The sequence below is a fragment of the Homo sapiens genome, chromosome 15 (assembly GCF_000001405.40).
Source record: "Homo sapiens chromosome 15, GRCh38.p14 Primary Assembly".
Taxonomy (NCBI): Eukaryota; Metazoa; Chordata; class Mammalia; order Primates; family Hominidae; genus Homo; species Homo sapiens.
The window spans coordinates 85,439,782-85,467,294 of NC_000015.10; the positions used below are offsets into that span (position 1 = coordinate 85,439,782).

At 39.1% G+C, this 27,513-nt stretch overlaps 1 protein-coding gene across 2 annotated transcripts in view, besides 5 other annotated features; it reads left to right on the forward strand.

The window, feature by feature from the left end:
• Positions 1 to 27,513, forward strand: part of AKAP13 (A-kinase anchoring protein 13) — a 368,756-nt gene that overhangs the window by 59,179 nt on the left and 282,064 nt on the right. The window lies entirely within an intron of this gene.
• Positions 973 to 1,162: an enhancer, noted in NCBI's record as "active region_10012". NCBI's record gives its function as "activates an Ori minimal core promoter by ATAC-STARR-seq in GM12878 lymphoblastoid cells {active_cell/tissue: GM12878}" and the evidence as "EXISTENCE:reporter gene assay evidence [ECO:0000049][PMID:35858748]".
• Positions 13,010 to 13,079: an enhancer, noted in NCBI's record as "active region_10013". NCBI's record gives its function as "activates an Ori minimal core promoter by ATAC-STARR-seq in GM12878 lymphoblastoid cells {active_cell/tissue: GM12878}" and the evidence as "EXISTENCE:reporter gene assay evidence [ECO:0000049][PMID:35858748]".
• Positions 13,240 to 13,359: an enhancer, noted in NCBI's record as "active region_10014". NCBI's record gives its function as "activates an Ori minimal core promoter by ATAC-STARR-seq in GM12878 lymphoblastoid cells {active_cell/tissue: GM12878}" and the evidence as "EXISTENCE:reporter gene assay evidence [ECO:0000049][PMID:35858748]".
• Positions 13,950 to 14,497: an enhancer, noted in NCBI's record as "H3K27ac-H3K4me1 hESC enhancer chr15:85996962-85997509 (GRCh37/hg19 assembly coordinates)". NCBI's record gives its function as "activates a minimal SCP1, AML or CMV promoter by ChIP-STARR-seq in primed H9 embryonic stem cells {active_cell/tissue: H9 hESC(primed)}" and the evidence as "EXISTENCE:reporter gene assay evidence [ECO:0000049][PMID:30033119]".
• Positions 14,498 to 15,044: an enhancer, noted in NCBI's record as "H3K27ac-H3K4me1 hESC enhancer chr15:85997510-85998056 (GRCh37/hg19 assembly coordinates)". NCBI's record gives its function as "activates a minimal SCP1, AML or CMV promoter by ChIP-STARR-seq in primed H9 embryonic stem cells {active_cell/tissue: H9 hESC(primed)}" and the evidence as "EXISTENCE:reporter gene assay evidence [ECO:0000049][PMID:30033119]".

Consider the following 27,513-nt stretch of genomic DNA (forward strand, 5'->3'; position numbering starts at 1 on the left):
GACCCAGGAAGGGGAATATCACACTCTGGGGACTGTGGTGGGGTGGGGGGAGGGGGGAGGGATAGCATTAGGAGATATACCTAATGCTAGATGACGAGTTAGTGGGTGCAGCGCACGAGCATGGCACATGTATACATATGTAACTAACCTGCACAATATGCACATGTACCCTAAAACTTAAAGTATAATAAAAAATAATAATAATAATAATAATAAATAAAAACCAGGTTGTCACTGAAAAGTTAAGGAAGCATTTGGAAATTACTGTAAAGGAAAAAGAACACCTAACAAAGCTTTCAGTGTTGGCAGTGTTCTGTGCCCACCCTTTATGTATTTAGCAATTACTTTAGCTGAACCAGTTTGTTCATATAGAAGAACCAGTCAGAATGTCTCTGCCCTTCCCTTCCTCTAAGCACACACAATGGTCATCTCCTCCCTTTGCCTTTTCTTTTGACCATGACTAGCAGGTCCTCAGCTAGCTTACTTGTTATAGACTTGTTCACACAACTTTATAGCTCTGTTTCTGTCAGGCATATTTCTGTTTTATAGATGAAAACTTTTTCTTAATTTAAATTTCCCTTTTCCTGGAATTTATTCATGTGTTCTGAAATGCTGCTGTTATTGTAACTTACTGACTGTATTGTAAATTCATGGATTTTATCTGGGAGGATCTTGACTTTGATACTGAAGAGCTGATGCAAAATCTTAAACAGGCCGATGAAAAAGAGCTTGTCAAATAGATAAAGGAGCTTTCTTCTTTCTATATTCATCAGTAAAAAATGTTCTGTCTAGGATTTGCATAGATGACTCTTTTCAAAATCAGTTTTCACCTGAGGTCATTCAGGTACCTAAAAGGGAGGGGAGTATCTAAACAGTGACAAAGTTGTCAACAGGGCGTTGCATCAAGTTCTCTTACACACTTTCCTTTTTGCTATGAAAGCTGCTTTCTCAGAGCCATCCAGTTACTCTTGTCATATATGCAGTTTGAAGAAGTTTACTTCTGCCTCTTTTTTCTCACCTCTACCAAGGTAATGATGACCATTTAGAAGCCAAGGATTAATTTTGGGAATGGCTTAGTGTGGTGGAAATTTTTAAAAAAATTCTGCAGTGGCTTAAATAGTGCAAGTAGATTTCACTGTAGGGACTGATATAGCAGTTATAAGAGCCCACGGTTTGAAAGCAAGAGAAACTCTAAAAAAACAAAACAAAACAAACTGATGTCATTGGTGTCATTCGAAGGTTTACACATTTCTGTTCACTTGAGGTCTTTTTTGTAATTATGTTTTCACATATGTAGATACCTAGGAGTGGAATTGCTGGGTAACACTGTTTTCCAAAGTGGCTATACATTTTACAGTTCCTCCAGCAATATATGAGGGCTTCAGTTTTCCACACATTTTGCCAATACTTGGTATTTTTAATCTTTTTTTTAATGGCCGTTCTGGTGGGTGTGTATTGATAATGACCAATAATGTTAAGCTTTTTTTTACTGTTCATATTTGCCATTTGTTTATTTTCTTTGGTCAAGTGTCTGTTCAAACCTTTTGCCTATTAAAAAAATTTACTGTTTTTGTATTGAGTTATAAGAGTTCTTTATATATCCTGGATATAGGCCCTTTATTAGTTTATATAATTGGTAAATATTTTTTCCTAGTCTCTGACGTAGAGTCTTGTCTTTTAATTTTCTTGATGGTGTCTTTTGAAGAGGAAAAGTTTTTAATTTTGATGAAATCTAGTGTATCATGTTTTCTTTTATGGATCATACATTTGTTGTCATATATCTAAGGGATCTTTGCCTTAGCCAAGATCACAAAGATTTTCTCTTATGTTTTCTTGTAGATATTTCATAGTTTATTTTGTAAGTTTGTATCTGTGATCCATATTTGGGTTTATTTTTGTGTATGGTGTAAGCTAGGGTATAAGTTCATTTTTTGCATGTGGATATTTGCTTGTTCTGGTGCCATTTATTGACAAGTCTCTTAAAAGTTTTTTTTTTCTGTTAAACTGTATTACTGCAGTAAATAGTCTTACATATGCTGTGAACACACGCCTTCATTTTCTGACTGAATTGGGAGAAGAGGGAGGAAAGGAGTTTGTCTTGGGTCTTGGCCTTATTGTAGGGAGCTTTTCTATCATAGTTCACTTTGCTTTATTCTGCCCTTTAAGAAGATATTCACAGTCTTTGGGAACAACGAATAGAGTTCTGGTCAATTTGGCTTTAGTTAAGAAGGTGACTCTGTTATCCTCTCCCTAGGGATGATTATGAAATCTTATTTTGCACAGTTAGGGCTGGGTAAGCCTAGGATAGTACAAGCTATTGGACAGAACATTTGTTAAAAATATTTTTAGGCTGGGCGCGGTGGCTCATGCCTGTAATCCCAGCGCTTTGGGAGGCTGAGGTGGGCGGATCACGAGGTCAGGAGTTCGAGACCAGCCTGGCCAGCATGGTGAAACCCCGTCTCTACTAAAAATACAAAAATTAGCTGGGCATGGTGGCAGGTGCCTGTAATCCCAGCTACTCAGGAGGCTGAGGCAGGAGAATTGCTTGAACCCAGGAGGCGGAGGTTGCAGTGAGCCGAGATCGTGCCACTGCACTCCAGCCTGGGTGATAGAGCAAGATTCTGTCTCAAAAAAAAAAAAAAATATATATATATATAATATAAAATATACATATATAATATACATAATATATATTATATAATATATATAATATATATTATATTATATATAATATATATTATATTATATATAATATATATTATATATATATTTATTTCTAGCATGAGAATGATGAAACTCTTCTTAAAACATTTTATTTTCTTTTTCCAAATAGTTGTTTCTAACTATAAAACTAAAACATGTTTATTACAGAAACGTTTGGAAATTACCACAAGTATGAAGAAAAAACTTTCTTCCCCTATCATTGCCATCCTGATTTTGGCTCAGCAACACTTTTAATTTTGTGCAATTGAAATAGGGACTCTGGACCACTTAGTTTCTTGGAATAATTTTTGGATCTACTGAAGGATTCAGGCCTTTTAAAAAATATTTCTCTTGAGAAGGGAAAAGGATGGGAACTCACATTTGATGAGCATCTATTGTGAGCTAGGCCTTGTATCCCAGAAAGCTCTGTGAAGCATTAAAATTACATTAAAATAGCATGAAAAATTTGTTTCCTCTCTTCATCCTCCCTAACTCCCTGCTTTTTTTAGGCTTGGGTTAAATAATTTGCCCAGTGTCACTCAGCTAGTATGTGGTAGGTTTGAAAAGTTGGGGAAAACTTAAGTATCATTCAGTTAAAATTGTTAACCTGTGTCTTATTTCATGGTTTAAGAAAGATAGTTCTCCCCCCACCCCCCAACACAGTTTTCTGGCTTCTGTGGTCTTCCTTTTATTTTCTATCAGATTTAGAAGTCCCAAGATCCCCTTATGTCCTACTCAAATTAAGACTTGTTTCTCTTCTCCTTTCTGTATTGTGCTTTCAACTCTGAGGCCCTGTTTTAGCTTTGGTGTTTATTAGCTGAATAAAAAGATAAAGTGAGAGAGCTTAGAGTTTTAATAGGGAACATTTCTTGAATTGGATTGATTTCATCATCAATTTTACTTTCTTAAGTATTAACTAATTACTAGCTGTGGATTCCCAGGCAAGTCCACTCACTTTCTTCATCTGTAAAATGAACTACCTACTCAGCAAGGATCCTTCTGTGGTGTATCAGCATTCCTTATTATTATTATTTGTTTTTGTTAGTAGAACCATGAAATAAATTTCTGGCGATATGGGCACAGAGTATTTGCAGTTGTAACACAATGGTAAGTATCTATATCTAAACATAGAAAAGGTACAGTATAAATACAGCATTATAATCTTATGTGACCGACTGCTGTCTTATATGCGGTTCGTGGTTGACTGGAAAGTCATTTTGTGGTACATGACTGTATTTGCATTTGTGTCAGTGGGTAAAAAGCACTGGTTTCATGTAAAAAAAAAAAAGTGTGTGTGTGTGTGTGTGTGTGTAGGGTATTTGTGATTCTGGAGCCTGATTTTTCCTTCTTCATTTAGGAGGTATTTATGACTGTCAAGGCTACTTGACTGCCAGAACTTGCCATTGATGTGCTCACTTCATCAAATGGCATAGCTTATTCTAATCTGTTGTTTATTTTGTTGCCATAGTAACCTTTTTGAAAACAGAAAGGTGGTTGATATGTTTGTACAGGAATTCAGGGCCTTTCCCCTGATTGACATCTGCTGGCAGGAATTTTTATCCTAGTGATTCGGGCTAAGGCTTGGGGCTATAATGAGTACAAAGGGAGGTGGGATATTTGGACAGTTTGAAGCAGACTTCTTTATATTAATCCACTCTATTAATTGCTAAATTATTTTATTTAGTGATTTAGGGCTTTCCACTCGAGCCAGCTACTTGTTATATGAATTATATTTATTCCTGACAGGTGTTATGCTTGGGTTCAACATTTAGAACTCAGGCTAGAGTGGAGCACGTTGCTGCTACCTCAGGCTTATTCAGACAGACAAAATAGAAAACAATGAAAGGTGGCCCCTTCCAGATTTCACCTTAGTACATTTGGACTAGTGAACTAGGATGAGCAATAAAAGGTAGTTGAGGAGGTGTGGAAATGAAATCCTAAAGGCAATAAAAAGTAAAATGTTTTCACATCTCTTATTCTAGTGCCAGTGAACCTTTGACTTGGTTGCAGAACGAATCTACATGGGAGCAAGCAGTTGTTTAGAGTAAAATCTTTGCACAGATGTCTTTTCCCTTTTCACATGTTAGAAAAATTGGGAAGAAAATCTGTAAGTGAAATGCCAAAAAACTCAATGTAATCTTTTTAGAATGTCTAAGATGGACTACAGAATCAGTCTTAATCTTTTTCAGAAGACATGGCCACAGAGGCTTTTGTGGGAAGGGGATTGTAATTTAGTTAAAATTTAGTGAAGTCAACACCAGGACTCTAGCAGCCCTTCCTGGTGAATTAATTTTGTTCTTTGTGTCCTTAAGCTTTCCTTTTTGGACCTCTTACTTCCTGGAGGCTTTCTCTCCTAGCCCCTTTGCCTTTGGGTATTCTGTTACCACAAAAGGAGTTAACTCTTCATATGGTACAATCATCATAGCTGTTTTGAAATCTGTTTTTTAGCTGAGGGAATTAAGGCGGAAAGAAGTTGCAAAGGGGTCATGCATGTTGCTTTTCCATTTACTGTATTCTCTTAAAGTATATAATACTTTAAATGAACTGTTCCCTTCTTTTCCCTCACCTTCCATATGCTTATTCAGTCAAAAAGCCCTTATCCTCTGATCTCTGATAAGTACTGGGAAACTATCTGATCAAAAAAACCTATGATCAAAACAGTTCTTTGGAATGAATGTCCTTATCTGTGTTTAAAAGATGCTGGATAACTCTTGTGAACATTCAGTTAGTACAGTTTGTGGGCATTGTTTTGAGGCCCCTACAATACCAAAGAAAATGGTCAGCAACTTGGCACCTTACCACTGAAAGGGGCTTCATCTCTGAATTTGCATTTCGAGAGCTCACAGTGGGAGTTACAGGCTTTGATGGTATCACTGGTAGCCCAGAGAAAACTGACTGATATGTTCTAATTCTTGAGACAGGAAAGAAAACCCATACATCTTAGGATTTTTTGTAATCATTGATGCATAAATAATTTAGGCAGGAAATTTAGTTATTTAGGATGTTTTGTTTCCTGAAATGTTATTTAATTGTATTTTTCTACCCACTTGTCATATTATGGAAGTAGTTTATATGACAGCGTGCTCTTATGAGCAGTCATTTAATTACATCTTCCTTTGGACTTTCATAGCACTGTGACTTACCTTTATTATAGTACTTACTTACAAACTTGGAGAGAAAGATGCCAACTGTCTGTGAAAAAAATCAGTCTGTATTTAATTAAGGCACAAACAGAGCTAAAAATTAAGGCACAAACAGAGAGAGCTAAAAATTATTCATATTTTTCTCCTTGTAATGGCACTGTACTTGATGCTTCTATTTATTTTTAATTCTTAAGGTAATTTTATTTTTAATTTCTATGGATACATAATTGTACATTTTTATGGGGTACATGTGATATTTAATACAATCTACAATGTGTACTGATCAAATCAGGGTAATTGGGATATCCATCACCTCAAGCATTTAACATTTGTGTTGGGAACATTCTAAATCCCCCCCTTTGTTTAAAAATATACACTTTTTTCTATTTATTTTGATTTAGTTGTAGAAGTGCCATGGTTGGTGAGCAACTTGGTATTGCTAGAGTTGTGATGGCAGCAGGAAATAAAGGTATAGATAGTGATTTGGGACTAGGGAGTTTGGCTTTAATGTGAAGAAAGCAAGAAGTCCTTGGAAAGATTTGACCAGAGAATTGACACATACTATATTGAAGTTGTGGGGCAGTTGAACCTTGTGATAACGTGGAAGATAGTTATGCTTAGAGGCAAAGACAACAGCAGGGAATAGGTCCAGGAGTGAGGACAACGACTTGGGCAGCAGGGGTGGATAAGGAGACAGTGTGGAGGTAAACGAAATAGGATTTGTTGGGAGGCAATGTAGGCAGTGAAGGAGAAGGAAATGGTTTTATGAGAGCTTGAGGTGAGACCGTTAATGAGGATAAAGGACAACGAATGAGCATGTAGAAGATGGATTCAGTGCAGAACATCCAAGGGGACTAGGATGTCTAGCAGGCACTTGGCAATTAGGTTATGGAGCTTAGAAAAGACTTTAGGGCTAGAGACTCAAAGTTGAGAGTGGTTTGCCTATAAGCAATAGTTGAAACTGAGAGAATGGGATGGAAAGATATTTGTTGGATGCGAGGACAATCTGGAATTAGCTGGTCTGGCCAAGTAAACATGCCTTTTCGTCTTCCCCGCTTTGCCCAGCCCTTCTTTTTCTTTTTCTTTTTTTTTTTTTTTTTTGAGACAGAGTCTCGCTGTGTTGTCCAGGCTTTCCAGCCCTTCTTAAAGCTCTAGTCCAGGCTCTGATGAAGAGGATTGAATTTAAAATTCATCACACATTGTTAAACATTATATAAATAAATGGTGTGCTCTTAAAGGCAGCATAAATATCTGGGTTTCACCAAGGAAGGAATGGGAAAATGGGTTAAACTTAAAAAAGTGAATGTGTAGTCAGAAAATGACAGAGCTACTGATTTGCTTTTTAAAATAATAAATTTAGGCCGGGTGTGGCGGCTCACACCTGTAATCCCGGCACTTTGGGAGGCCGAGGCCAGGAGATCACAAGGTCAAGAGATTGAGACCATCCTGGCCAACATGATGAAACTCCATCTCTACCAAAAATACAAAAATTAGCTGGGCGTGGTGGTGCGCACCTGTAATCCCAGCTACTTGGGAGGCTGAGGCAGGAGAATCTCTTGAACCGGGGAGGTGGAGGTTGTAGTGAGCTGAGATTGCACCAGTGCATTCCAGCCTGGTGACAGAGTGAGATTCCATCTCAAAATAAATAAATAAATAAATCTGTTATTATTATTATTTTAAAATAAGAGTTCTTCAGCAAAATGGATAGGATATGGACCTGGATTTGATTTTTAACTCCTTTTTTAAAAAAAAATTTTATTTTAGGTTTGGGGATACATGTTAAGGTTTGCTACACAGATAAACACATGTCACGGGTGTTTGTTTTACATATTATTACATCACCCAGGTATTAAGTTCAGTACATAATAGTTATCTTTTCTGCTCCTCTCCCTCCTCCCCCACCCCCAAATAGACCCCAGTGTCTGTTGTTTCCTTCTTTGTGTTAGTAAGTTCTTATCATTTAGCTTCCACTTACAAGTGAGAACATGGCAGTATTTGATTTTCTGTTCTTGTGTTAATTTGCTGAGGATAATAGCCTCCAGCTTCATCCATGTTCCCAGAGAAGACATGATCTCATTCTTTTTAATGGCTATGTAATATTTCAAGATGTATATGTACCACATTTTCTTTATCCAGTCTGTCATTGATGGGCATTTATGTTGATTCCTTGTCTTTGCTGTTGTGAACAGTGCTGCAGTGAGCATTTGTGTGCATGTGTCTTTATGGTAGAATGATTTATAATCCTCTGGGTATATACTCAATAATGGGATTGCTGGGTTGAATGGTAGTTCTGCTTTTAGCTCTTTGAGGAATCGCTATACTGCTTTCCACAATGGTTGAACTAATTTACCAACTCACCAGCAGTGTATAAGGGTTCCTTTTCCCTGCAACCTTGCCAGCATCTGCTGTTTTTTTGACTTTTTAATAATAGCCATTCTGAGTTGTGTGAGTTGATGTCTTATTGTGGTTTTGATTTGCATTTCTCTAATGATCACTGATATTGAGCTTTTTTTTCATATGCTTGTTGGCTACATGTATGTCTTCTTTTGAGAAGTGTATGTTCATGTCATTTGCTCACTTTTTAATAGGGTTGTTTGTTTTTCTTTTGTAATTTAAGTTCCTTGTAGATGCTGGATATTAGACCTTTGTCACATGCATAGTTTGCAAATATTTTCTCCCATTCTGTAGATTGTCTACTCTGTTGACAGTTTGTTTTGCTGTGCAGAAGTTCTTAAGCTTAATTAGATCCCATTTATCAATTTTTCCTTTTTTTCGTGATTGCTTTTGGTGTCTTTGTCATGAAATCTTTGCCCGTTCCTAAGTCCAGGATGATATCACCTAGGTTATCTTCCAGGGTTTTTATAGATTTGGGTTTTACATTTAAGTCTTTAATCCATCTTGAGTTAATTTTTATACAGAATGTAAGGAAGGGGTCCAGCTTCAAACTTGTACATATGGTTAGCCTGTTATCCCAGCACCATTTATTGAATAGGGAGTCTTTTCCCTATTGCTTGTTTTTGTCACCTTTGTCAAAGATCAGATGGTCGTAGATGTGTGACCTTATTTCTGGGCTCTCTATTTTGTTCCATTGGTTTGTGTGCCTGTTTTGTACCAGTACCATGCTGTTTTGGTCACTGTAGCCTTTAGTATAGTTTGAAATTGAGTAACGTGATTCTTCCAGCTTTGTTCTTTTTGCTAAGGATTGCCTTGGCTATTCAGGCTTTTTTTTTTTTTTTCTGAAAAGAAAAAAGAAAACTTTTTTCCTCAGGTTCCATATAATTAAAAAAATTTTTTTTTCTAGTTCTGTGAAGAATGTCGTTGGTAGTTTAATAGAAATAACATTGGATCTGTAAATTGCTTTGGGCAGTATACCCATTTTAATGATATTGATTCTTCCTATCCATGAGCATGGATGTTTTTCCATTTGTTTGTGTCTTGTCTGATTTCTTTGAGCAGTATTTTATAATTCTTCTTGTATAGATCTTTCACCTCCCTGGTTAGCTGTATTCCTAGGTATTTTATTTTATGTTATTTTATGTTGTTTTATTTTATTTATGGCAGTTGTGAATGGGATTGCCTTTCTGATTTGGCTCTCGATTTGGTTGCTGTTGGTATATAGGAATGCTAGTGATTTTTGTACATTGATTTTTATATCCTGCAACTTTGCTGAAGTTGTTTATCAGCTGAAGGAGCTTTTGGGCCAAGACTATGGGGTTTTGTAGATACAGAATCATGTCATCTGCAAATAGAGATAGTTTGACTTCCTTTCTTCCTACTTGGGTGCCCTTTACTTCTTTCTCTTGCCTGATTGCTCTGGCTAGGATTTCCAATACTATGTTGAATAGAAGTGGTGAGAGAGGGCGTCTTTGTCTTGTACCGGTTTTCAAGGGGGAATGCTTTTGCCCATTCAGTATGATGTTGGCTGTGGATTTGTCATAGGTGGCTCTTACTATTTTGAGGTATGTTCCTTCAATACCTAGTTTATTGAGAGTTTTTAACCTAAAGCGATGTTGAGTTTTATCAAAAGCCTTTTCTGTATCTATTGAGATAATCATGTGGTTTTTATTAGTCTGTTTATGTGATGAATCACATTGATTGATTTTTGTATGTTGAACCAACTTGCAACTGGGGATGAAGCTTACTTGATCATGGTGGATTAGCTTTTTGATGTGCTGTTGGATTTGTTTTGCAAGTATTTTATTGAGGATTTTTGCACTGATATTCATCAAGGATATTGGCCTGAAGTTTTCTCTTTTTTTGTAGTATTTCTGCTAGGTTTTGGTATCAAGATGATGCTGGCCTCATAGAGTGAGTTGGGAGAAGTCCTTCCTCCTCAATTTTTTGTAATAGTTTCTGTAAGAATGGTACCAGCTCTTCTTTGTACATCTAGTAGAATTAGGCTGTGAATCCATCAGGTCCTAGGCCTTTTTTGGTTGGTATGCTTTTATTACTGATTCAATTTTGGAGCTCATTATTGGTCTGTTTAGGGAATAAATTTATTCCTTGCTCAGTCTGGGTGGGGGTGTATGTGTCCAGGAATTTATCCATCTCTTCTAGTTTTTCTAGTTTGTGTGGGTAGAGGTGTTTGTAGTAGTTTCTCATGATTGTTTTTATTTCTATGGAGTCAGTAGTAACATTCCCTGCGTCACTTCTAATTGTGTTTATTTGGATCTTCTCTCTTTTCTTCTTAATTAGTTTAGCGATCTTTTGAATGATTTTTCATGTCTTGATTTCCTTCAGTTCAGCTCTGATTTTTGTTATTTCTCTTCTTCTGCTAGCTTTGGGGTTGATTTGTTCTTCTCTAATTCTTTCAGTTGTGAGATTAGGTTGTTAATTTGAGATCTTTCTTTTTCGTGTGGGCATTTGGTGCTATGAATTTTCCTCTTAACACCACCTTAGCTGTGTCCCAGAGATTCTGTTATGTTGTATCTTTGTTCTCATTATTTTCAAATAACTTCTGGATTTCTGCCTTAATTTCATTATTTACCTAAAAGTCATTCAGGAGCATGTTCTTATTTTCCATGTAATTGGATGGTTTTGAGTGATTTTCATTGTGTTGACTCCTATTTTCATTGCGCTGTGGTCTGAGTGTGTGTTTGGTATGATTTGGTTTCTTTTACTTTTGTGAGGATTGTTTTATGTCCAATTATATGGTTGATTTTAGAGTATGTGCCATGTCGTGATGAGAAGAATGTATATTCTGTTGCTTTTGGTTGGAGACTTCTGTAAAAGGTCTGTCAGATCCATTTGGTTCAACGCTAAGTTTAGGTCCTGAATATCTTTGTTTATTTTCTGGCTCAGTCTGTCTAATACTGTCAGTGGAGTGTTGAAGTCTCCCACTATTATTGTGTGGGGAGTCCATGTCTCTTTGTAGGTCTCTAAGAACTTGCTTTATGACTCTGGGTGCTCCTCTGTTGGGTGCATATATATTTAAGATAGTTAGGTCTTCTTGTTGAATTGAACCCTTTACCATTATCCCATGCCCTTCCTTGTCTTTTTTGATCCTTGTTGGTTTGGAGTCTGTTTTGTTTGAAATTAGGATTGCAACCTTTTTTGTGTTTCCCATTGCTTGGTAGATTGTGTTTCCCATTTGCTTGGTAGATTTTTCTCCATCCCTTTATTTTGAGCCTAGGAGTTTCACTATGAGTGAGATGGGTCTCTTGAAGACAGCATACCATTGGGTCTTGCTTTTTTATCCTTGCCACTTTGTGCCTTTTAAGTGGGGGCATTTAGCCTGTTTACATTCAAGATTAGTAATGGTGTGTCTGGATTTGATCCTGTCATTGTGCTGTTAGCTGGTTATTATGTTGGCTTGTTTGTGTGGTTGATTTACAGTGATACTGGTGTCTGTGTTTAAGTGTGTTTTTGTATTAACTGGTAGCGGTCTTTCTTTTGTATATTTAGTGCTCCTTTCAAGATATCTTTTAAGGGCAGGTCTGGTGGTAATGAAGTCTCTCGACATTTGCTTTCCTGAAAAGGATCTTATTTCTCTTTTGCTTCGGAAGTTTAGTTTGGCTGGATATGAAATTCTTGAAGATTTTTTTAAAGAATGTTGAATATAGGCCCCCAGTCTCTTCTGGCTTGTAGGGTTTCTGCTGAGAGATCCACTGTTAGCCTGATGGGGATCCCTTTGCAGGTGACCTGCTCTTTTTCCCTAACTGCCTTTAACATTTATTCTTTAATTTTCATCTTGGAAAATCTGACAATTATGTGTCTTGAGGATAATCTTCATGTGTAGAATATTGCAGGAGTTCTTTGTATTTTCTGGATTTGACTGTTGGCCTCTCTAGCAAAGTTGGGAAAGTTTTTGTGGATGATACCCTGAAACATATTTTCTAAGTTGTTGGCGTTCTCCCCTTGCCTTTGAGGGATGCCAGTGATTTGTAGTTTTGTCCTCTTTACATAATTTCTCGGAGGTTTTGTTCATTCCTTTTTATTCTTTTGTCTTTATTTCCGTCTGTCTTATTTCAGAAAACAAGTCTTCAAGTTCTGAAATTCTTTCCTTAGCTTTGGTTTATTCTGCTGTTAATTCTTGTGATTGTATTGTGAAATTCTTGTAGTGTGATATTCAGCTCTGTCAGATCCCTTAGGGTTTTTTTTTTTTTTTAAATACTGGTTATTTCATCCTTCAGCTCCTGTATCACTTTATTATGATTCTTATTTTCCTTGGGTTGGGTTTTGTCATCATCCCGAATCTCAATGATCTTTGTTCCTATCCATATTCAGAATTATATTTCTGTCATTGCAGCCCATTTGGCCTGGTTAAGAACTGTTGTTGGAGAACTGGTACAGTCATTTGAAGGACATATGACACTCTGGCCATTTGAGTTACTAGAGTTCTTGTGTTGGTTATTTCTCGTCAGTGTGTGTGGGTATTACTTTAACTGCAGTGTAGATTGAGTATGGTCAATAGACTTCTTTACTGCATGTTTTCACTGAGTTGAGGTTTTGTGTAGGGTGTTTATTTGAAGCTGACTTCTTGTTTCTGGTTTCAGAGGGGAGGGTATGTCAGGTATCTTTGGTGTTAAAGCTTTGGGGTATGATCCAGCAGGTGGCTCTTAGGCTTATTGGACAGCTGGTGGACTAAACAGTTGTTCAGTTGTGTGGCTCCCCTATGTTTCCTCACAGTTGTAGCCATGTTCCCTCTCAGTGTCCTGAAAGTATGGGTTTCTCTGCCCCTTGAGTGCTGGCTGTAGTTCATGACATCCAGTACAGCTCTGGGGAGATCTCAGTATTTATGTTCCTCCCCCAGCTTACAGGCTGCAGAGGGAGAGATCTTATTAGTGGTTTTGGCCAAGGGTTGTTTGCTTGATTCCTGGGGGCTCCACCTCAGAGAGATGCAGGTGAGCAGTTGCTTAGTGCAGTCAGCCCAGGATGGAGGGTCAGTGCTGCGGGCCCAAGCCAGGGGTTGGTTCCCTGTCTGGTGATGAGCCGTCAGAGGTGTGTGGGACCTGTGGGAGATGGACTGGCCTCCTCTCCTTGAGTTTACTGCAGCTTGTTGGAGTGTGGATAAAGCACTTAATGTCTTTGCTCCTTCATCAGACCGAGGGTGGCAAGGGCAGTTCCACAGTAGAGTCAGTGGCCGAGAGGCTTTTAGTTGCCACTAGAGGCTCTGTCCAGGGAGTTGCTGAGTTGGTGCTAGCTGAGTAGCTCTGGTTGGGGGTGGCTGGAGCCCCAGGCTTGGAGGACCTGCCCTGTGAGGAGATATGGGATCAGCCACCCACGTAACAGTGGGGCCACTTTTCCCTAGGGCTGCTGTGGTATACTTGAGGCCTGCAGCAGTCCCTGGTCACCTCAGATTTTCCAGAATCTGGAGGTGTTACCAGTGAAGACTGTGAAACAGCAAAGATGGCTGCCTGTCCTTCCCTCTGGGAACTTTGTCCCAGGGAGGAATGACCTGTTGCTGGTCCAAAGGCACCTATAGGAAGTGGCTGGAGACTCCAGTTGGGAGGTCCCCCAGTGAGGAGGAGCAGGATCAGGACTGCTTAAAAAAGCAGTCTGGCCACATTTTGGTAGAGCATGTGTGCTGTGCTGGGGGTCCACTTCAGCCCTCGGTTGCCTCAGACACTCTGAAGCTCTAAGGCTGGAACAGCTGAGTCACCCAAACAGCAAAGATGGTAGCCACCCCTTCCTCCGGAAGCTTTGTTCCAGGGGAACTTCAGATCTCTGTTGGCTGGAGAGCTTGGGTGGGGGTGGCTGGAGGCCCAGGTTGGGAGGTCCTACCCAGTGAAGAGGAATGGGATTGGGCACCTGCTTAAAGCAACAGCCTGGCCACGTTTGGGTAGAGCAGCTGTGCTGTGCTGTGCTGGGGCATCCCTTCTGTTCTGGGTCAGCACAGATTCTCCAAAGCACAAAGGCTGGAATGGCAAAGATGGTGGCCCACCTCTTCCCCTAGGAGCTCCTTCTTAGGGAGGTGCAGTGCCACTACTGGCAGCTGGCTAGAATTCCAAGCCAGTGGGTCTTATCTTGTGGGCTGCCATGGAAGTGGGTCCTGTGGGCTCTTGCTGGTCAGTCCCCTGGATTCAGCCTCTTTCCTAGGGGTATTTACAGGAGTCTAACCTCCCACCCTGCTGGAGGTACAGCTACTTTTGCCAGAAAGCCCAAGTATCTAAGGCTCCAGGGTCTTCACGCATGCCAAGACTCCACATGGCTCTGTTGGTCAGACTGAAGACTGCAGGCCCTGGTGGAGTGGGTTCACAAGGCGATCTCTTAACCTGAAGTTTGCAAAGGTCTGTGGGAGAAGCATAGTTTCTGGGGATCGCTCATTCACTCACTGCTTCCCTGAGTCGGGGAGGAACCCCTGGCTCCGTGTTGCTCCCAGGTGCGCTGTTTTCCTGCCTTGCTTTTCTCTGTTCTCTGTGGGTCAAGTTGTTTCCTTGATTAATCCCAATGAGAGTACCTGGATGTTTCAGTTGAAGGTGTTGTATTTACTCACCCTTTCTGTTCCTCTCTGTGAGAGTCACACACACTAGCTGCCTCTAGTCGGCTCTGTTGGCCACTCCCTAGCCGTTTAAACTGTTTAAAAAAAAATCTTATCGTGATGTAATTCACATGCTATATAACTTACCCATTTAAAGTGTACAGTTATTTTAGTATATCCAGAGAGTTGTTCAACTGTCACTGTGATCAATTTTGAATCTTTTCATCACCCCAGAACGAGACTTTGCACACCTTAGTTGTTATCTTGACCCAAATTTCGTAACTGTTTTGAGTTACTCACTGAAGATCATTTGGTCTCTTAACAGGCAGCAAGAAATTGATCCAGATTATCTCCTTTCTCGATCTGTCGTCTTACTGACAGATTTTTAGGCACCAAAAATCACAATTCCTTTCTGTGTATGCTACTTTAAGATAGATTTCTTGTCTTCTGTGAGTTCATTTGGGAGTTTCAGTGAAGGACCTGGGTGTTTTGATGGAAGTACATGGTTTATGTGTATCCATATTAAATTTCATCTTGGTGTATTGGGCCTCTCATGTCTGTCCTTGGTACATCCTTTTAGCCTTTTAGGACTTCTGGATCTTCAGTCTGCCTTTTAATGTATTAATGTTCTTAGTGAACCTAATATGGTCTGTATATTTGATCATTTGATCATTAGATTTTTTTTTTAAGTCATTGGCAAATGTGTTAATTAGAATTAGGCAGAGTGGGAGTGGGGAAGAGTTGGCGTTGCCTGTACAAAATCTCGTTTCTTGTAGATATTTATGAATTACTCATTTTGCTTTGTTTACAGAACCATTATAGGGTTGAGGATGGCAACAGTGGGACACGAGGCATATTCTCCCCCTCCCACAGTGCTTCTCTAAATTCCTAGATTTCACCTAGAAGCACAGACAAAAGCATGAGCGGCGGGAGGGGAATTTTAGTCACACTCTTTATACTTATAGCCACCATGACGTCTCAACTCACATTTCTTCAGTTTGTTCACAGCAATAACATAGGGGATTTGGGCATAGGTTTTACTCAAATTCAGACACAGTGTTTTTAGTTTTCCTTAGTCTCTGTTACCAATCCCTTGGATGATAAAATTTATTTTAAAAAAAGAACTGTGGTGTGTCTTCTTGAAGGTATATGCTGAGCTTTTAGATTATTGCTTCCCTTTCAAAGGCGCACAGTCCATCCCTTTAACAATTTGTGTCTGACACCGAGATAAAACTCAATAGATTACAGATTGTTGAATCTAGCTTCTTACTGCAAACTACTGTAATCCCTTTGTAATCTTCCATCTGTTTTATTCTTAAATAATCTTCTTCTGGGACTTAGGATGTATCTCTTTCTAGCCTGGGACTAACTCCTTTAAGTCAGATAGTGTGACTTATTTATTCTATGTTATGTACCCTGAAGTTCATTCTCATTGATTGAAAAGGAGGACATAAAATAGAAAAAGCACTCTTTTATATACTTTCACACATCACCACTCTGAGCCTTAAGTCTTAGATCTTCCTTATTTGTCTTGCTGCAAACATAATTAGAAAATCAGAAAAGCTCTTTTTTGTAGTCCATGGCATTTTTCCAAGGTACAGTTCAGTTTTGGAGTAAAGAATCATACCCTTTCTGGCTTTCCACTCTAAACTTCTGCAAATTCATTCTTCTTCTTGTAAGCAAAATCAGAGGTGTTTAATTGTTTAGTCACTTGGATATATACACTGAACATTTTTAGTTAAACAGACCTTTCTGCTTTGAATTGAGGATGACTGTTAATAAGGTGTTAGAAATGAAAATCAATCCTGACTTCTTCTTCTTAATCAGAATCCAAATAATAAGGACTGCACTGCTGCAGTCTCTATGGGGACACCCACTGCTCTCACTTTTCTGTTTTCTTCTTTTTAAAAAATTTTATTTTTTAATTTAATTTTATTTTTTTACTGTTCCTTGCAGAGCAGGGCTACCCCAAAGGCAGTGTTCCCAGAGTAGCCCACTTTCTGTTTTTTTTTTTTTTTTTGAGACAGAGTCTTGCTCTGTCGCCCGGGCTGGAGTGCAGTGGCGCAATCTTGGCTCACTGCAAACTGTGGCCTCCCGGGTTCACACCATTCTTCTGCCTCAGCCTCCCGAGTAGCTGGGACTACAGGCGCCCGCCACCACGCTTGGCTAATTTTTTATATTTTTAGTAGAGATGGGGTTTCACCGTGTTAGCCAGGATGGTCTTGATCCACTTTCTATTTCCTTATAGCTCATGTTGACAGCTTTTCTCTCCAACATGGGTCTACTCATCTCATGTAAAATTATTACTATACGTTCTTGTTGAGATCATGAACCTTCTCTAAAAATTTCATGAGGTTGTGGATTTGGAGAAGTATTCCTCAGTCCATTCAATACAATAACAGTAATGACTATAGTTTATTATCTACTGTGAGTCAGGCACCAACTGTAGCGAGACATTCTAGTTACGTTTTCTTGTATACTTCCCCACAGTGTTACAAAGAGGACATGATCCCCTTTTTTCTGATCAGTAACTTGAACCTGTAAAGTGAAGGTTGAATGAATTGCCCCAGACCTCATAGAAATAATATATTCTGCATTTGTATTTTTAAATCAGTTTTTAAAAAGTAACACATCTAAAATAGTAAGAGGCATGTCTAAAATTCTAGTGTAGGTCTGTTTAACACCACAGTGAGTGCTGCTTTTTTTTGGTGATTGAGGGCCTACCGTAATATATCATTGTGGCAGCTTCTTTGGAAGATAAGAAATTATCCACCAGAAATAAAGAGGACACATTCTCTTTTAAGGAAAACACCATCTCGGCTTTTAAACACTTTTCTTTTTTAAAGGGTGAAGGAAGCCATGGAGATTTCTTAAGAAGAGAGACACTTCCTACCTTTCTTTTGGGAAGCACTGTACTGATTCTGTTCAGCAGTGTACAGAATTGGAGCCATAGTAGAAGGAGGTGGAGATTGGAGAGCGCCTAGCTCAGCACCCTTGGCGACTAGTTGTAGCCCTGACTCCTTGGAGTGATCTGTATGTCACTCTGTATTTGGACACAGCTGTTTCCTCGGGTTGCATGGTAACAAACCAAATAATTTGCCTTTAGGCTCTTTTGCTTACTATGTCTGTCATCTTTTACACAACTGAAGCCTTTGGTGGAGAAGGATTTTGAGTTGACTACATTGCTTAATTGTAATGACTATTCTGTTTGACCTTTCTAAGCCAGAGCTTCACGAAGAGAGATTTGAATGTTTGCTCCGTAGAAGTAGGTCTCTTCCAGGGGTGAGGCACTGTCTTAAAAAGTTATAAAGAGGCCGGGTGTGGTGGCTTATGCCTGTAATCCCAGCCCTTTGGGAGGCCAAGTCAGGTGGATCATGAGGTCACGAAATCGAGACCAGCCTGACCAACATGGTGAAACCCCGTCTCTACTAAAAATACAAAAATTAGCTGGGTGTGGTGGCGCCCGCCTGTAATCCCACCTACTCTAGAGGCTGAGGCAGGAGAATTGCTTGAACCCGGGAAGCAGAGGTTGCAGTGAGCCGAGATTGCGCCACTGCACTCCTGCCTGATGACAGAGCGAGACTCCATCTCAAAAAAAAAAAAAAAAGTTGAAAATACTAACTTTTAATTATCCCTTAAAAATAGATATTCCAGTTTTTCTGATTTTTAGTAATACATGTTTGTTACGGAAATTCTGAAATATGTAGACCTTAACTTATGGAAACTTTAGAATATAAAGTAGAAAAATGAAAATTACCCATAATTGTAATTTCTAGGAATAATCACTATGAACATTTGAGTCTTCCCCTTTCTTTTTTTCTCTTTTTTTGTATTTTTTGTTTTTTGTTTTTTTTTTTTTTTACTATATATGTATGGAGTGCAACACATCTGTATTTTAGTTATCACTTTACATTGATTAAGCATTTGTACATGCTATTAAGTTCCTCTCATAGCTCTAATTTATATATTAAAATAATCATTCTCCTAATGTTATATAGATTATTTCCAGATTTTAATAGTATAAATAAAATCCTTGTAGACACAGTTATTTGTAAATGTTTGATTTTTAATACCTAATACGTATTAGACAGATTTCTACTGCGTTGAAACTTAGGGTGATCATTTTGAATGGCAGTTTTTACAACTGAAGATTTTCCCTCCTGAAAACTTTATTTTAAGCATCTTGGATAAATGTTTCTTAAAAAACATTATATACTTTAATAAATTACTTAACAGCTTAAGTTTTCCGTGACAACTTGGTGCCATCATTAAATTATAAGCATCAATCTTACTGTGTTGCTGGAATAGTCTCCTCCTTAATGGCTTCTATCACTCCAGCCTTTCTTGTTCCTGTCTGGCTTCTTTCTAAATATTTGTTTTCCTTAGTGTGTTGCATTGAGTCATACTTTTCTGCATGTACTTGTCTAGACAGTTTCAACTACCTTCATGTCATAAACTATATCACTTTTGTGCGAATGATTCCCAAATCTACAGCTCTAACCAAGACTTTGCATGAACTTTAGATCCCTATATCCATCTTTCTGGTGCTCATTGTCACAAACTGTTATCCTTTGACTGTATCAAAGACACCTCAAAAGTAACACTAGAATTTAACTTGTATTCCCCTGAAATTACTACTTGCTCATCTACTTTTTCTTTCCTTCGTCTCACTCTGTCACCCAGGCTGGAGTGCAGTGGTGTGATCTTGGCTCACTGCAACCTCTGCCTTCCGGGTTCAAAAGATTATCCTGCCTCAGCCTCCGGCATAGCTGGAATTACAGGTGCCCGCCACCACGCCCGGCTAATTTTTTTTTTTTTTTTTTGTATTTTTAGTAGAGATGGGGTTTCATCATGTTGGCCAGGCTGGTTTTGAATGCCTCACCTCAAGTGATCTGCCCGCCTTGGCCTCCCAAAGTGATAGGATTACAAGCCTGAGCCACCACACCCAGCCTGCTTTTTCTTTTTTTTTTGAGATGGAGTCTCGCTCTGTCGCCCAGGCTGGAGTGCAGTGGTGCAATCTCAGCTCACTGCAAGCTCCGCCTCCCAGGTTCACACCATTCTGCTGCCTCAGCCTCCTGAGTAGCTGGGATTGCAGGTGACCGCCACAACGCCCAGCTAATTTTTTGTATTTTTAGTAGAGATGGGGTTTCACCGTGTTAGCCAGGATAGTCTCAATCTCCTGACCTTGTGATCCGCCTGCCTCAGCCTCCCAAAGTGCTGGGATTACAGGCGTGAGCCACTGTGCCTGGCCTAGCCTGCTTTTCCTTAACAGTACCATCATCTATCTAGTTAAGGTGAAAATCTTTCTAGACTCCTACTTAGTCTTCACTCTCAAGTATATTGGATCACTAAGTTCTAGCCATGCTACCTTTCAAATATTTCTCAAATTTGTTTTCTCCTCTTCATCCCTATTACTATTGCCCATATTTAGGTTCACTAGTTTTTATCAGGACAGCTGCAGTAGCCTCCCAAGTTCCTTTTCACAGACTTACCTTTTCAAATGTGTTTTCATATCAAGGGCAAAAATTGCTTTCTTGGGCATACATGTCATGCTATTTTAATGCTTACAGACTTTTAATGGCTTCCCATTGCACCTGGAGTCAAATTTAACTCCATATTAGTCTATAATTGTTTCTTTTTATCTTTCTGGCGTTTTCTCCTGCTCCTATCACACACACACTCACCAAGCTTTTGCTATCAAACTTCTAGCAGTTTTCTGACTATTGTGTGCAATTTTATGTGCATATGCATTTGTACAGGCTGTTTATTCTCCCTGGAAAGTACACAGCCCCCGATACAGCTCGCCCTGCATTTTACCCATCATTGTAATGCGTTCTTAGAAGATACAGTGGAAGTTCACTGGTGTGACATTATTCATGAACCCTGTCACCCCCAGCCTGGACAGAAATACCTTCCTTGCTCCATGTTTATTGAGCCATTTATGATACTTTCTGTGGTAGACAGGATAATGGCCCCCACAAAGTTGTCCATGTCCTTATCCTTGGAACCTATGAACATTTTACCTTATATGGCACAAGGTTCTCTCTGAAGATATAATTAAGATGAAAGGCCTTGAGATGTGGAGATCATCTTGGATTACCCAGATGGGCCAGTCTAATCATAGGAATCTTTAAAAGCAGAGAACCTTTCTTGCCTGTGGGCAGAGAGAGAGATGACAATTGAAGAAAGGTCAGATAAATTTGACTTTGCTGGCTCTGAAGATGGAGAAAGGGGCTGCATGCAGCCAAGAGATGCAAGTGCCCACTAGAAGCTGCAATAAAGGTCAGGGAGAAAGATTTTCCCATAGAGCCTCCTGAAAGGAATGTAGCTCAGATGGCACCTTGATTTTTAGCCCTGTGAGATCGATCTCAGATTTCTAACCTACAGAATGGGGGAACAGAGTTTTTTTTTTTGTTATTTTAAGTTACTAAGTTTGTGGTAGTTTATGACATCAATAGAAAATGAATATACTGTCATTGCATCTTCTCTGTCTTATCAAGTTATATAGCTAATTTCTTATTTTTCACTAGATATTAAGCTCTTTAAGGACAAGGACTGTATAATTTTATTTTATTTTATTTTATTTGAGACAGAGCCTCTCTCTGTCGCCCAGGCTGGAGTGCAGTGGCATGATCTTGGCTCACTGCAACCTCTGCCTGCAGGGTTCAAGCAATTCTCCTGCCTCAGCCTCCCAAGTAGCTGGGATTACAAGTGCCTGCTACCATGACTGGCTAATTTTTGTATTTTTAGTAGAGACGGGGTTTTGCCATGTTGGCCAGGCTGGTCTCAAACTCCTGACTTCAGGTGATCTGCCCGCCTCGGCCTCCCAGAGTGCTGGGATTACAGGTGTGAGCCACTGCGCCCGGCCCGTTATAATTTCATCTCTATCCTCAGAACTTTGCACAGTGCTAACACAGTGTTAACCCTGAAAAGTTTGAATGTGTGAATTAACTAATATAGTGTTATTTGTATCCTGATAATGTGTTCAGCAATCCTTGCTACATACCAAATCCCCCTATTTATTTTTTGGGTTACTGTTTTCACTTTTTAAATGGTGTGTTTTTTTTTGTTGTTGTTGTTGGGGGAGGGGTGCAGGGAAGTCTCTTTCCTTCTTGTTAACTTTTTTTCTTTCTGCTCCTATTTTCTTTAGCCATGGTGGTTCTTTTCCTGTTGATAGTTTGTTGCTTCAAATATGTCATTTGCACATGACAGTTTAAAGTAGAGTGACATTGTATCTAAGTCCCTTTTGGATAGAAGTTTTTGTAGTAAAGCTAAGATGTTGGGAGTTTATGTTTTCTCAGTGTGTCTTTACAGGCATGTACTTCCTTTCCCATAGAGAAATCTGAACAAGAATTTTAACTTTGGTAATTTTATTAAATGAAATAAAATTACTGATTTCGTCTATTTGTTAAACTTGCATTCCAGTGTAAATCTTATATGAATACCAGATTCACTTATCCTGCCTTAATTTGCCAACTATAAACCTGGATAAAGTACAAAAAAACAACTACATGAAGACACTAGAGAGTAACCAACAACAGTGGTTTCTGGAGGGCAGTTGGTATGTGGAAGACCAGCAGTCACTGGATGAGTTTCTTGTTTTTCATGGCTTCTCACCTGATAGCAGGCCTCATGTGACAGCTGGAAGTCCATAGGAAGCCTTCAGTGGTTATGACTTGTCCCATCAATCACAGTCATTGGAACATGAAGAAAGAGAGTGCCCTGCCAGGGGACATCCCTAATTCTGCATAGAAATTCTATGCAAATCACTGAACCATGCCCCATACCATCAGAATGGGGCATCCACACTAATGCTTAAAACTAAATAGAGATTGGTGCTGCCATCAAGAGACAGAAGTTTGCCATCTGAGTTTAGCTACCTGGTAAAACAAAACAAAAAGTCAGGATTCTTTGGAGGAATAGAAAAATCCAGAGTTGCCACAATGCCCAGGATACATCTAAAGTTACTCAAAATTTGAAGAAACCGGAAAGTGTGACCCATTCTCAAGAGACCAACTAATTAATGGAGATTGGATCCCAAGATGACCTACATGTTAAACTTAGCTGATAAGGATTTTAAAGCAGCTGTTATTACTATACTCATTTACACACAGGAAAATCTACTTAGAATCAAAGCTATGAAATCTGGCAGAGAAATAGAAACTGTAAAAAAATTTATTTGAAATAAAAATTTTGGCCGGGCGTGGTGGCTCACGCCTGTAATCCCAGCACTTTGGGAGGCCGAGGCGGGCGGATCACGAGGTCAGGAGATCGAGACCATCCCGGCTAAAATGATGAAACCCCGTCTCTACTAAAAATACAAAAAATTAGCCGGGCGTAGTGGCGGGCACCTGTAGTCCCAGCTACTTGGGAGGCTGAGGCAGGAGAATGGCGTGAACCCGGGAGGCGGAGCTTGCAGTGAGCCGAGATCCCGCCACTGCACTCCAGCCTGGGCGACAGAGCGAGACTCCGTCTCAAAAAAAAAAAAAAAAAAAAGAAATAAAAATTTTACAGGATAAGTTTAATAGCAAAACAGAGATGACAGAAAAAAATCATCGCACTGTAGTTCAGTAAGAATTACTGAATTTGAAGAACAGAGAGAAAAGGAGATTGAAACAAAATGAACAGAACCTGGAAAATGTGGGACAGTCTTTAAAAGGTCTATAATATGCATGTAATTGGAGTTCTAAAAAGAAGGGAGCATGGGAAAGAAAAAAATATTTGAACAAACAAGGGATGAACATTTTATAAATTTAATGTAGGAATTATGTAGAGATCGTTGCCGTTTGACAAATTAAAAGGATGCTTCTTTCACATTGAGCCTAAGAATAATTTAGGCTTGACTTTCTTCTCCCCAATGATCTGATTTATCAAGCCTGACTGATTTCAGTTGCTGTAGTGTTTCTTTCTGGGTCTTACAGATCCACACTGTTATGAGATCACTAGATTAAATTGCAGCCAGGACTAAATTGCACAAAATGGTAGAATATATGGATGGTGGTTTTTTGAAACATGCCAGGGCTGGTTTCTTTCGGAGATCTGTAGTGAACACTGGATCTTTTTGTGTGTGCTGCTTTTCCCTCTGCCCTTTTTCTTTGCTTTCCTTTCCTGCTACCCTCTTCTTGTTTCTGAGAAAGGGCAAAAAGGAGACTGAAGCATTTGAGCTAGACTGGCTACATCAAAGGCAGTGAGTTCTATTGATATCTGAGTCAGCTGCAACATAAAGCGACTACTGGGGAGGCTTTTGTTGGGTCTTTACTTTTTTTTTTTTTCCCCCTGGGTGATGTTGCTGGTGGCAGTGCTAGGAGTCAGTTGGTAATGAGTCCTTGCCAATGTGCCTTGATTGAAATTTGGAAGCCAGATTCCTGTGATTTTAACCATAACCTTTTTAGAAATGCATACTTGTATGCTCAACAGCCAGGTAGTATGTACTGCGGAAGCCATAATGATTGTTACAGTTTTGAATTACTGCTCCCGAGGCCCTGTTCCTACTTCTTTTTGTCCTAGTTGCTCTTGAACCACCCCGATGATCACTCTTCCCTTTCCCACACGGCGTCTATGATCCAACAACCAAAGGGTTAAAGTCTGGCATGCCTTCCTCTTTTCTGTTTTATCTGACTGGCGACTTTCCTCTTCATAAATACTGAAATATCTCCCTTCCCTGTCCCTGTTGTGCCTGTGCCCATCCTTGTGTGTGCTCTAGTATGTGTTAAAAATAGTTGTTAGAAGTCCAGTTACAGATTTTGGAAGGTAATACAGTCTAGAATTTAAAAAAATGAGCTTTGGATTTAGGTTGACTCCAGAGTTTATAACTTTTGAGCAGTGTCCTTAAACAAGTTCTTTGAGCCCTATTGTCCATTTTCTTGTAGAATATGGATAATATCTATTCCTGAGTTTTGAAACTTAATCTGTATGATAAGCCTTCCACATTCATATTTATTCCTTTGATTTCATTTTGGTTTTATCATAGCCAGTTATCCTAGGTCATTTCTAACTCTCTAGTTTTTGTATAATTATTCTGTTTTAAGGAATTAATTTCAAAGAGGGAGGTTAGAACTGGTAGGTTCTTGTTCATCTGTCTTTACCAAAGAGAAGTCTGAGGCTCAGAGTTAAATTGAGCTGCTCAAGCTTATATAACTCGGAAGCAGTGTAACTAGAATTTAACCTCAGGCAGTCTGATACCAGAGTCAGGACTATTAACAAATTTGTATCAACATCTCTCTAACAATAAGGTTATGTCGGTTTAGAATTTTCAATTGCTTACCCCGTCCCTTTTTCTTCTTTTACTAGTTCTTTAATTTCTAAGGATAGGTTAATGATGAAACCAGAGACTAAACTGTAGTTTTCTCCTAAACCTGCTTGTAATTACCTTTATTGATCTTTAGGCATTAATTACTTTTTTTATTTTTTTGAGATGGAGCCTTGCTCTGTCGCCCAGGCTGGAGTGCAGTGGCACGATCTCGGCTCACTGCAAGCTCCGCCTCCTGGGTTCATGCCATACTCCTGCCTCAGCCTCCTGAGTAGCTGGGACTACAGGCGCCCACCACCACGCCTGGCTAATTTTTTTTTTTTTTTGTATTTTTTTTTAGTAGAGACGGGGTTTCATGTGTTAGCCAGGATGGTCTCGATCTCCTGACCTTGTGATCCGCCTGCCTCAGCCTCCCAAAGTGCTGGGATTACAGGCGTGAGCCACCACGCCCGGCCAGGCATTAATTACTTTTTAACCTTGCTGTATATATCTGTTCTTTAGTAGGCTAGAGATCTTTTAAAGGCAAATATTTGGATCTTAGTCATTTTTAAAAAAAATTTTATTATTATTATACTTTAAGTTTTAGGGTACATGTGCACAATGTGCAGGTTAGTTACATATGTATACATGTGCCATGCTGGTGTGCCGCACCCATTAACTCGTCATTTAGCATTAGGTATATCTCCTAATGCTATCCCTCCCCCCTCCCCCCACCCCACAACAGTCACCAGAGTGTGATGTTCCCCTTCCTGTGTCCATGTGTTCTCATTGTTCAGTTCCCACCTATGAGTGAGAACATGCGGTGTTTGGTTTTTTTGTCCTTGTGATAGTTTACTGAGAATGATGATTTCCAATTTCATCCATGTCCCTACAAAGGACATGAACTTATCATTTTTTATGGCCGCATAGTATTCTATGGTGTATATGTGCCACATTTTCTTAATCCAGTCTATCATTGTTGGACATTTCGGTTGGTTCCAAGTCTTTGCTATTGTGAATAGTGCCGCAATAAACATACGTGTGCATGTGTCTTTATAGCAGCATGATTTATAGTCCTTTGGGTATATACCCAGTAATGGGATGGCTGGGTCAAATGGTATTTCTAGTTCTAGATCCCTGAGGAATCGCCACACTGACTTCCACAATGGTTGAACTAGTTTACAGTCCCACCAACAGTGTAAAAGTGTTCCTATTTCTCCACATCCTCTCCAGCACCTGTTGTTTCCTGACTTTTTAATGGTTGCCTTTCTAACTGGTGTGAGATGGTATCTCATTGTGGTTCTGATTTGCATTTCTCTGATGGCCAGTGATGGTGAGCATTTTTTCATGTGTTTTTTGGCTGCAAAAATGTCTTCTTTTGAGAAGTGTCTGTTCATGTCCTTTGCCCACTTTTTGATGGGGTTGTTTGTTTTTTTCTTGTAAATTTGTTTGAGTTCATTGTAGATTCTGGATATTAGCCCTTTGTCAGATGACTAGGTTGTGAAAATTTTCTCCCATTTTGTAGGTTGCCTGTTCACTCTGATGGTAGTTTCTTTTGCTGTACAGAAGCTCTTTAGTTTAATTAGATCCCATTTGTCAATTTTGGCTTTTGTTGCCATTGCTTTTGGTGTTTTGGACATGAAGTCCTTGCCCATGCCTATGTCCTGAATGGTAATGCCTAGGTTTTCTTCTAGGGTTTTTATGGTTTTAGGTCTAACATGTAAGTCTTTAATCCATCTTGAATTAATTTTCGTATAAGGTGTAAGGAAGGGATCCAGTTTCAGCTTTCTACATATGGCTAGCCAGTTTTCCCAGCACCATTTATTAAATAGGGAAGGATCTTAGTCATTTTTGAATCCTTTGGCAGATTCAGTTTTGTATCCCTCTTCCCATTTGTACTGTCTAGCACTGCATCTTATTCATCATAATGGGCACACAGTACTTTTTATTGGTGACAGTGATGACTTGAATAAAACCTTTGAAACACCAGAATAAGCTTTTAAATTTTTGCTCAGTTGTTAAGCTTTGGAATCTTGGAATTAAGAGAAACTTAAAGATCCTTTGATCTTTTTCCTGGTTAATCTTCTTTAATTTTTGTCCACTGCTATTTTTACAACATGATTTTTATTTTGTTTACCATCCCTTCACTTTGTTCCCAACCTTTTAAAAATTTTATCTGTGTCTGTCTTGGTGGGTTCCCAGCATGGACCATTATATCCTAGGTTTGTTAAGTAAATAGTAATTTGGAATCACTCATTACCTTCTCTGCATTGGATACTACATCTATTATTGTATTAACTACACACACACACACACACACACACACGTATGTAACTCAATCATCCGTGTATTAGTGCACACCAACAATCTTGGCACCCATTTTATACTGTTGATTATTCATTTGTGAACACTATAGTATATTTTACAAGTGCTTCTGTGCTTTTCTACCTTTATTTGATGTAGTTGATTCTAAATATAGACCTTGCATATATGTATATTCAGTACTTGGTACATGGTAG